Genomic DNA, 12,268 nt, shown 5'->3' with positions numbered 1-12,268 from the left:
ATAGCAAAACCATATACCATACATTTGTGTCATATTTTAGACTAAAAACAACCAGCTATATTTTTATAGTCTATGTTGAGTGTTATTTGATTTTATAGATTTTTAAAATATATAACAAAATTTCTAAAACATAGTGATTCATCCCTGTAGTAAATGGCAGAGCTTAGAATTGAACCATGTCTTCTGGTGCTAAATCCTTAATTGAGCCATCACTGGTTCTTTGGATTCATGCTAAAGACGAGGCTCGCTCTGTGTCGCTGAAGGAATTCAAGAAGACACAGCAGGCCCAACTGTGGGGGTTCTTAATTAGGTAGGAAATTTTGCTGGAACAATATCTCAACACTCCTGCAGCTCTAAGACTTTTTAAAAATTATTAACTGTAGAATGTTCAAAGTAATTCATAAGACAATTTCTGCTAAAGTTGTTCATGGCCAATAACTTAGATAAGTTACATTCAGTGAATCCTTTCCTCATTTGAAAGTCCGAGTTTTCCAGTGCTGCTGTCTATAAGAAATCCAGCTGGGCTTCAAGTTGGTAGACTCTTATTCCTTACTTTAAGTTTCTAATAGACAATGATATTTCTGCCTCAGTCATTAAACATCATTCCTTCCAGAGCCTGAAGAGAACTGAAGGCTGTAATTCCTGGGATAGTAATTCTTTCTCTCTTGCATCCTGATTGTTCTTCTGCAAACCCAATAATACATCAGCAGCACTTTTGACTCTTTAGAGGCTTAACATGTGTACTTAGACTCACAATGAATCAATAACTACCAATCTCAATAAGGACTTTGTCTTACTTTTTAATTTGTCTAACATTTAGCCTACGTTATTTTCTTAGAGTTGCCAAATGCCTTCTCCCACTGGAGATTGAGATTAACCACCCAAATCCACTCACTACACTTTACATTCCTGGTCTATTTTGGGGGTGTTTATGAGATGCTCTAAGTGCATCAGAAAGCAAGGAGCAATGAACAGCTACTAAATATTCCATGACTTTGCAGTCCAGGAAGTTGGTGGAAGCATTTCTGCATCCAAACACAAATTCACATTTGGAGGAAGAAAAAAAAAAGAAAGAAAGTGTAGGCCGTGCCCATACATGTGTAAAGCAGCAGTTAAACCCAATAAGTACTTCAGTTGGGATTTAGGGCCACATCTAACAGTGCAGGATGTTCATTGGATACCTTGATTGCAGGAGACTTTGATGAGTTTCTCGTCTTACTGCTAGGTGGATTATGCTTTGATTAGTTATCTGAGTGGAAAGACAGATAGATGAGTTTTCTAAGATATAACAGGAATGATTTAGAAGACTTTCATATGAGGGTAATGCATACTGAAAAGTCTTAATCGATGACACAAAACTGTTACAGAAACTAGCATTGTGCCTGGAGAAAACAGCAAAAGTATGCAAAGGGCTTTTCATCAGTGTTTAGACTGTTTGCATTCCAAAGGCAGAACTAGAATAAGTAGAAGATAAAAAGAGAAATATTCTATTTCAATATAAATCATTAATTATAACAGTAAAACACTGAATTGGCTCCCCCTGAGCTTGCAATCCCTGATGTATGGAGCCTAAGCTGGAGGAATGCAAATCTGCAATGTAGAGGGGGATGCTGAAAGATGGGGAAGCAGGTTAAGGCGACTGCCAAAGCCTTTTGTGCCTGAGTTGAGGATTCATATTATCTTCCTGCAAGGCCAAATTTAATGCAGAATGCTGCTTAATGCGCACATAATTAACAAGATCCAAGTGCTTAAGGAAACAGCAGCCCAGTGCCTCCCCTGTCTCTCAGACAGGGGAGATTTTTCAAGTAAATGGTAGGAGCTCCTTAGCTGATACATAAAGTTCAGAGGCTGATCTCTGGCAACTCTTTCTCCGCTGACTTTCATTTTTATTTTAGGTTCCTTCCCAGTCTGCCATCTTTATTTAGCCCAACAAACCCTTTCTTAAGTATCTTGATGAGCAATGCTCAGTAACACAATAAGACCTCATGTGTGGGCTGAAACCTTAACTGACATGTAAGTTAACTTTTTGGACTGAGATAAATAATATATTTTCTGGAAATCACATCCTCTCCAGCCAGGGTTAGCTCCTGGAAGGGCTGCCTTCAGTATAACACTTGAAGACAACTAATTAAACATGACATTCACCAATTCAGAAAATTTCTCCTTGGCTGAGCCCCCTAATGTCTGATTTTGGTTTTCTTGTTTTTGCTAGTATTCATTTGTTTTCACATTATTTGTGTCTTTGTAGTCCTTTTTAGCTCTGTTTTGATTTCTTTCCAAGATGCTTTTCCTTATATTTATTCCCTAAGGAACAAACATAGCAGTTAGGTGGAGAAAAAAAAGTCTACATCCTGCTTGCCTTATACCTGCTCTTGCAGCAACATGCCTCTGACTTGGTGATTTTAGCTGGTGCTTCGTGTCAAATCTGGCACTATGTCTGTTATACTCATTCTCCACTTCTCTAAGAGGAATGGAGGGAACAATCATCATTTATGATTTGGGTAAAAGTGCAACATCCTTCAGCTCTATCATTTTTCTCATCACTGTTAACAACTTACCTTTTCCCTCTGCATCCTGGGAAACATTTTTAAGTTTTTGCTCCACACCACTGATTTAATTTTCAACCTTGTCAAATATATTTTCCCATTTTCAATTAGAGTTTAAACTCCATTAGTGCAACAGAGGTGTCTTTGCATTTTCCAATAGTACACCCTATTTTTAATCTTTTATTAAATGTAATAGCTGATATTTACTGAGAATCATATATGCCAGTCCAGACACTAAAATAACAAGTATTACTTTATGAGTGTTACATTGTATCTTCTCCCACTACTGTACCTTCATCTGCAAGCCTTCTCTTTATATCACGTTCTACTTTTCTATAAAAATTCTATTTTAAAACAAGTTTTTACTTTTCTATAGAGGCCATACTCTTATATACTATTAAGAACTTGTAAATATTTTAAGTAAATATTTTTGGAGCAAAAATCATAGAATTGTAAGATTTTTCAGAGGTCTGTTTTTCCTCGTCATTGTGATAACATTCTTTTTCTTGTGCCACAACATTTTTCAGAAGCTTCTTTTCTGGTTGCTTATTTGCACATGTGTGAATCTGTCTGAGTTTCAGTTTCCCCATGCTGCCTGTTCCCCACTCTTAGTTTCCTGAAGAGGAGTGCTTAGATAATTTACAATATACAGAATGCTCTTTTCCTTAGGTTATTCATTTCTCTTGTTCTGTTGAGGCTAACCTCCAGAGTGCAATATATAACTATCCACGCTCCTCTTATGTATGTGATACCGTGTTGCAATTATGGATAGGCTTAAAAAAATATGATGGGAAAGTAGGCTCCTGAAAAATCTCAAAAATCAGCACTTGGACAGTGGAATAATCCATGCACAGTTTTATATTTGGTGCAGAAACTCATCTCTAAATCAGGGGAGAGTGCAGAGAGTGCATGAGTTTCACATGTCTCTCTTTCGTTATTTGGGACAGCAGACTTGGTAGATTTCACCAAGCTAAGAAGAGAAATGTCAGTGATTATTTTTTTCTCCAGTTAGCCTTACTTCTTTCTTGGCTTTCTCCTCAGTGAATTTGCTTTTCTATTTTCGCCATCTTCATAAGTATTTTGGTTAGAATGTTGGGGAAGCTATATCTGAACTCTTTGCTAGGTAGCATTTTAAACTATTAGCTTTCCACCCTAATTTCTCTAGGCAATACTGACAAGCTGTAGAGGTGAGTTGAGAAAAAGGACAAATCAAAAGGTCAACAAAATATATCCCAAGATAAGAGAATAAGGTATATGAGTTGAGGAATAAGGGATGAAATTTATACAGTCTACAAAAGAGAGGTCTTCAAGGTAGGGTCTCTGTGACAGGATCTATAAATATCATCAAGGCAACAAAATAAACTAAGCAAATTATTTACAGTCACAAACGATAATAGGACAAGAATGACTGCCTGAATCTAAGTGAAGGAAAGTTTACAATAGGTTATAAAAAGAGTTTTTAGCTGAAAGCAAAACCAAACTATAAAACTAACACAAAAGTTAAGATCTATCACAGACTGGTGGGTAAAATATAATTAAAAAAAAAAACTCACAGGAATAGGCAAGAAATGTATATACATTTAAAAGACATATGATTGTCAAATATTCATTGTAAAAATTAAGATCAAATTTTGGCCTTTTCTGCTTCCTAGCTGTAGGGTCTTTGGCAAGCTATTTTAAATATGTGTAATTAGAATAACATCAATTGTTTTTATAAATATTATGCCAATCATATCTTAAAAATGATTTTCCACTAATTCCATAACCATTTCAAGGCATAACCTCAACAAGGATAATATATGATCTTATCACACTCTTTTCTGTCACCATCAACTTTTCAAATTAGAAACATATATGTCAATGCTAAACTCCTGGACTCCACTCATTTCATTATTTCTTGCTATCTGATTTCCACTCTTACTTTTCTGCTAAGATTTCTGTTTTCACTAATGAGCTCTTACTTTTCAAATGGAATGACATACTGTCACTGCTATTTTTACATGACCAATCTGAAGCACTTGATGGCATTTACCAACACTTGCTTCTTCAAGGCTCTTTTTGCTTGCATTCTATTCTCCTCACAGCTTTCCTAAATCTCTGTATGTTTCTTCTTTATCCTTTCAATAATATGGATGTAAGACTTAAAAGATTATTGCATAGATACAAATGAAAAAAAATACATGCAAGGTTGGGTGCAGTGGCTCATGCATAATCTCAGCACTTTGGGAGGTCAACGCGGGAGGATCACTTGAGCCCGGGAGTTCTAGACCAGCCTGGCCAACACAGCAAGACCTCAGCTCTACAGAGATTTTTTAAAACATTAGCTGGGTGTGGTGGTGCATGCCTGTAGCCCCAGCTACTCAGGAAGCTGAGGCAGGAGAGTCACTTGAGTCCAGAAGTTTGAGACTGCAGTGAGCCATGATTATGCACTGTATTTCAGCCTGGGTAACAGAATGAGACCCTGTCTGGAAAAAAAAAAAAAAAAAAAAGCACAAAAAATTTCTTAGCAAAGCTCCTTGAAGAGAGAACACAGAAAATATTACCTTAGTCAATTTTAGTTAATCTCTGCATTCATAAAGGCATGTTTAGATCTCTCCTCTTTCTAGCAAGCACTCCATAGAGAATCTAATCTCTTTCTGTGTTTTCATTTACCACTAATAAACTGAAGATCTCTTTATCCATAAGTCTCAACCTCTCTTCTGAACTGCAAATCCATGGTTTGAAACTGCTTTCTTTACAAATTTAATGAGATATTCCAAAAGCATATCAATTTTATTTATTTTTATTTATCTTTTCTTTTCTTTTCTTTTTGAGATGGTCTCGCTGGGTCACTTAGCCTGAAATCATGCAGTGACATGATTTCGGCTCATTGCAATCTCTACCTCCGGGTTCAAGCGATTCTCATACCTCAGCCTCCAGAGTAGCTGGAATTACAGGCACGCATCACATGCCTGGCTACTTTTTGTACTTTTAGTAAAGACAGGATTTTGCCATGTTGACCAGGCTGGTCTGGAACTCTTCACCTCAAATGATCCGCCTGCCTCCACCTCCCAAAGTGCTGGGATTACAGGCTTGAGCCACCATGCCCAGCCAAGCACATCAATCTTAATGCAAACAAAATTGGACTCATTATGGACATATCCCTGTTTACTTCAGCCAGTTCTGTACCTTGAGATACCATGGAAGTGATACCATTACCTGTCTATGGTAACCAGTGATCCAAACAGAAAACCTCAGCTGTCTTTGATTCCTGTTCCTTTCTTATTCCCATGTGTCCCAGGCATACCATCACCTGACAATTTTCTCCAGTCATGTGACATGGGTCACATTTACTTTTGCAATTCCTCAGCCATGAGCCTAATTAACCTAGTTCAGATTATGATCTTTTTTCTGCCCAGCAACCAAAAGAACCACCCAGACATTCTATTGCTGCCTAGCTTCTCCTCATTGTAATCCCCTCTTCACATTACCTCTAGAGAGAGCTTTGTAAGTTTTGTAAAACACCAACCTATTCATATTACATTTCTGCTTAAAAGCCATCTTTGGCTTCACATCACCTGGTGTGTAATTCCAAAATTCTCAGAATTGAAAAACAAAAACAACAACAAAAAAGCTATCATAGTTTACTCCTAAGCTGTCTGTCAAGATTTCTCTTCTGCCACCCTTCCATACTTAGCACCTACTAGACATAACAATGTTGGGCATTACCTGTCGTTTCCTCCATGCTTCTTGAAGAGACTGTGCATTTCCCACACTGACCTGTCCCAGACTCAACACAGTTTCTAAATTTCATGGGTCTGGAATAGCCAAGACCCCCAGCTCCATTTCTCTCTTACTTGAAAGGTACTTGACAAATGAGTGAACTTTCTCTCTCTCTCTTTCTTTGTTTCTTTTTCTTTCTTTCTTTCTCTCTCTTTTTCTTTCTTTCTTTCTCCCTCCCTCCCTCCCTCCCTCTCTTCCTTCCTTCCTTTTTTCTTTTTTTTCTTTTGTTTTTTTTTTTGAGTTTCGCTCTTGTTGCCCAGGCTGAAGTGCAATGCTGCCATCTGGGCTTACTGAACACTCCTCCTCCCAGGTTCAAGGAATTCTCGTGCATCAGTCTCCTGAGTAGCTGGAATTATAGGCGCCCATGACACCCGGCTAATTTTGTATTTTTAGTAGAGAGAGGGTTTCATGTGAACTTTCTAATATCTAATTGTTTGCTATGGATGGTATTCCCAGACACTGAGTTTACATCATCTCATTTGAATTTCATGAAAACTACATATGTTAGGTTTCTGTTTTGAAGATAAAGACACTAAAGCTCTGACAGATTAAAATATTTGTTCATTATAATACTGTTAGTAAATTGGTAAGAGAGATCAGTTCATAATGAGGCTTCCTTAATCTAAAATCTGAGTGTTTTTCACTATCATAGGAGATCACACTGGGCAATTTTGTAATGTAGTGAATCTCCCATACTCGGTATTCAAAGCATAGATCAATAATTATTGATTATGGGGTATTTTCTCAGATGAAAGGCTATATTAACTGTATCTAAGGCATCCTCTAATTTTAATTTTGTATCTCTCAGGAGAAATTAAAGCAATCTCACAAATAACATTGGTAAAAATGTAATATTTTCTTAACTTTTAAACTAGAAAGCAATTATTTTAATGTTAATAACAGGGCTTTGTGGTAGTATTTGCAGTGGAATATAAAATTATTCAAACACAATATTAAAAAGCTTGGTTACATATTTAGTCTAACATAGTGCCATTTCGTGCACTGAGGTAGTTATAGTAACTCCTCATCCAGAATTTGAACACAATAATATATTCCAATATTTAACAACTCAAATTGATAACTGTTGGCATCTACTAGAAGATGAAACCATAACAAATAGATTATATCAAAATTATACTGAATAAAATTAAATATTTCTTGGACATTATATTGCAGAATCTTACATGGCCTCAGAGTCATCAATGCAGACATTAATTATAATTGTCATAAACAGATGAAAGTAAAAAATGATTGAAATCTCTGGGCAATAAAATGCAGATGGAAATTTGCAGGATATTTCTCTGAAATTTACCACTATAAAGTAATTTTGTTTTTATAGGTTTTAAATATTCACACCTATAGCTTGTCCATGTTTTGCTATACCCTTAGCCTAATATTATTTCATTTACATTGTAAAAGTCAACTTTGACTGACTGAAAAGAAAAAAATTATAATTAGCTGTATCCATATTAGATATTACTATGAAGTATATTGATAAAAAAAGTCTGAATAATTTTTTTATTTATCATTTACATATCAGGGCCTGGGCCCAAGACTGTAAAAAATATACAGTAAAATGGAACAGGGGCTCCTCTCAAATAGGTTGTAATTTAGTAAATTACAGAATGCTAAGTGTCAAACTAATGACTAAACAATAATAAATATTATAGAAATTTAGCTGAGTTCCAACTCACTGCTATTTGAGAAAGTCAAAAAGGCTTAATGGATAAAAAGTAAACTCAAGCCGGACCTTCATTTTTCTCTAATCAGAAACCTGTGTTATTCGCTGTTCTGCTTCAAAGTTGGTATTTTGCTTTGCTTAAAGAAAAAGGTAAACACAAACAAACAAACAACAAAATGCAAGCTCTATATGCTATAATTTAACTCTGTGATTCATCTATAATCCAGCTTTGGAATATGTTCCTATGTTCTTTCGCATCAGTTATGTTTTCAACTTATAATTTACCAAATACGTTTTATTTTCTAAACTTTGAACACCCTTGCTTTTGAAATCTCCTTCTTTGGAGATTTACTTTAAGTCCTAGCCCGAGTCAGTCCTCTTTATTGACACCTCACTTTGTCTTCCTACTTGGAGTCAGTCTCCCCTTCTCCCACAAACCTGCCATACTCTGCCCATTTATCTGTTCAATGACTTGCCACATGCTGGCTTATTCCAAGGCCTAGTGGACAGCTGCCTTTTTTCCACACTAGGCTATAATAATTTTGAACCCATGAACTATATTGTGTTTTCCTTTGTTTTTCTGAAAGGCTGTACACAGTTGTGAAATGAATGAATTTGACAGTGAGCAAATTAATCTATGTTTAATAAATGAATACATGTTGAATAAATAACGTGCAAGTCACTTAGATTACATGTAAGATCATTTTTTCTGAGGTAAGCCTTCAGGATGAAAGTATCACAAAAAGAAATATTCACACTGACTTTGAGTTTCACTGAATGTGAGTAGGTCAGTGTGTGGCAAAAAAGTCTGTGCTCTGCTCTTTATTTACAAAATTAGCTCTTTCTTCTTCATGCTTTGGCTTTGATATTTCCAGTTTGTACAATAGTCTTATACTTTATGGTGAGAACGTGCATGCAAAACATTCATTTATTCAGAGATTATCAACTAAGTTGAGTTGTCTTTTTATTAGGGTGTTAATAGTAAATTATATACTTTGAGAGGTTAATTTAATTAACAGCAGCAATATGTGGTCACTCAGTTGGTACAATAAATTCCTTCATTTAACAAATATGTGTTAGTCATCTAGCATATGCCAGGCACTGTGCTATTAAATAAAATATATGAGAACCCACTGATCTGGACTGAGGCCTTACACTTGGCCCCAGCAGACCAACCCAAAATGGAGTCACTCATGCTAAACTTTCATGTTACCCTACCAAAACCTAAGCTAAACAGCTTTGTAAGATCTGACCTTCCAAGAAACCAGGAGAGAGTTGATAGCCAAATCTTCAAGAAGCCAATTTAAAAACAAAACAAACAAACAAACAAACAAAAAGCAGGAGATTCACATCAACCAATCAAAAGGGTTTCAATTAACCTGATCCAGCATGATAAATTCCCCTCTGCTTTATCTGGTAAAAGTAACCTGAAGAACTTGATATTATTCAATCTGCTTTTGCTCCACTCTGTTTTCTTGTTTTTGGTCAACCTGCTTTACAGAAAGTGACTAGCCTGCCATGCCCACTGGAGCTTTTGTCTATTTTGTGGACTGGATGATGCCTGGTTCATGAATTACAAATAAAAGCTAATTAGGTCTTTAAAACTCATTTTATTGAAAATGTTTTTGTTGACACTGAAACATCCTAGAGAGTCAAAGTTGAATACAGATGAGGTCTTAACATTAAGGTGGACTACAATGTAAATAAGTCATTGTAAAGAATACAATAAATTAGAATGAAAGGAAAAGTGGCTTTGCAGAGAATGGCATGAGAAATTACCTACCAGTAACCAGAAAGGTGAGAAAAGAATTCTCAAACCTCCAAACTTCTCCCCTGTATTCCTATCAGAGTGACTAGATGCCTTAGCAGTTTTTAAGGGAGTTTAGAACTGTATCAATATAAATAAAGCAAATATATTGCTCTTGAGGGAATTGCTTGTTAAATTAGCTTCCCCTTTTGTCCTCTGAGAAAGACTGGAATGGTGAGCAGCAGTAGCACACAGGGGCAAGGTAGAGCTGACTTGGGCCTGCTTAGGGAGTTGAGTGGTTCTGAAAGAACACTGAACATCTGCATCTTAATTTAATGGAGACTAGCACTCAAAGGAAATGATGTGCCATCCAAAAAGAATGGCAACTGCCAGGGAAGGGTAGAGGAACTGAATGCAAACTCTGATCATTTAATAATTTTTCCAATTGCAAAGCTATCTGTTAGGAAATGATTTTGGTTACTTAAGGACTCTATTCAATCATCATTTATACAACTAGGAGATATATGACCCCCTGGCCGACACACACAAACACACAAAAACACACACTTTTGGGTATACTGATCAAAGCAAGGGAGGAGAAATGCATACTCACAAAAGTCACTGAATAAAACTGAAAACAGTAGCATCAGAATGCTTCAAAATTCTGCCATTATCAATCAAAAGGTTTTCTGACCCTTAGTACTTCAGCAGAAGGATCTAGGGTGGAGTACCTTTGAATTTCAAAGAAAAGATAGATAAAGATGGCTTTATATCTAGGAAAGTTTCCCTGCACTTCATGGGGTTTTTTTTCCATGTAAATATGAAAAAAAAAAAAAACCCTACTACTTTTTATAGGAGAAATATGGACAGATAAATTAACAAAGCCAATTCACTACCTATATGTCCTTTTCGCATCTCACAGTGTCTATTAATATTTGGAAAGGCACTCATTTATCATGAAGGGACATTTCCATGTATTCTTTTCTCTTAATCAACATTAACATAATATGGTAAATAAAGAACAGAATGATGGACACAGCTGACATGACAATTTCTGTGCTTTCTCACCAAATCAGTATGGCTGACATGGAAAACAGAGTAACAGATGGTGGAATAGCTAGAGAGGCACATGATTTGCTCAAGGTCACAAGAATTTCAGCAACACAACTAGAAACAAACAAACAAAAAAACCCAGACCTTGAAGCTAAGTGCTACTGTTTATATATGAGGAATAAAGTTTTAATTAAAGAATTACAGGATAATTATAGTCTCAGTTCTTTATTAAACCCAATCATGGAAATGATAGTTTTGTTGGAAGAAAGGCAGGTAGCTGCTTCTGACTGACTCTATTGTAGGGAGGTTGAGGGCTACATTGGAACAGGAGACTGGAATAAATGCTGTGTCTCTATGTGCCATCTTGAGTTACTGGGTTGCATTTTTAGGCATTTGATATATGAATATGTTTACAACAGGGTTTGTCAAGTTGACACTTTAGGTGGATTTCTCTGATGTCAGTGTATAGGATGAATTGAGCACTGTGAAAAGGAACAAAGAGCAGAGAACTTGTATTCAGGCAGAAAAAGTTAAAGAGCTGCTTCAGTTATGGAGGTCAAATACTGGAAGAGGTAAATCTAAAAGTAGGACCTGGAGGGTGGTAATGCTCCCTGCAAAGGTAGAGAACACTGTTGACTTTGTTTTGTGAGGATGAGGATGATATACTTCTAGACCTACTGAGGTTGAGATATAATCAGGGTTTGGATGGAGACAACCCAGAAGCAGTTAGAATCATTTCTGCAGCTCAAAGAAAAAACTGGGTCCAGAATTACAAACTTGGCAGTTACCTATAGAAAGATGATAAGTGGACCTATGACATTGACTGAATTCACAATCAAAGAGTAAAAAAGATAGAAAAGTGGGAATGGAATAATTGGGCAAAGTTTCATTTACAACCTGATGGATGATCTGTAAAAGAAAGAGATTACAAATTGGACCCCATCAAAATTTAAAACTGCTGATCTTTGAAAGCTACTGTTAAGAAAAACCACACACTAGAGGAAAATATTTGCAGAATATTTATATGATAAAAGACTTACATCCGAAATATATAAAGAATTCTCAAAGTGCAATAAGGAAATAAACACCTTGGTATAAAAATAAGCAAAAGACTTGAACAGATACTTTGGCAAAGAAGATATACAGATGGCCAATAAACACATGAAAAGATAATCTTCTCTTCTTGGGCGAGTGTTTGTAAACAGTAGACTGACAGCAGCACAGATTCAAAATAATAACATACTCTTCATATCATATACCTGTGTGGTACTTATCACTTGTCAGACACAGTTTTAAGCACTATATAAATATTAGCTCACTTAATGAGTTAACAAAGTAGGGTTTTAATTAACTATTCAGTGATAAAGAAATTGAGGCACAGAGAGGTGAAGGAATTTGCCTAAGGTCATATAGCTGGTAAGTGGCTAAGCCCAGATTTGAACACAGGCATTCTGGCTTCAGAGACTGTGCTCTTGGCTA

This window comes from Homo sapiens, chromosome 18 (assembly GCF_000001405.40).
Source record: "Homo sapiens chromosome 18, GRCh38.p14 Primary Assembly".
In the NCBI taxonomy this organism is placed as follows: domain Eukaryota; kingdom Metazoa; phylum Chordata; class Mammalia; order Primates; family Hominidae; genus Homo; species Homo sapiens.
This window is presented reverse-complemented; position numbering follows the sequence as displayed.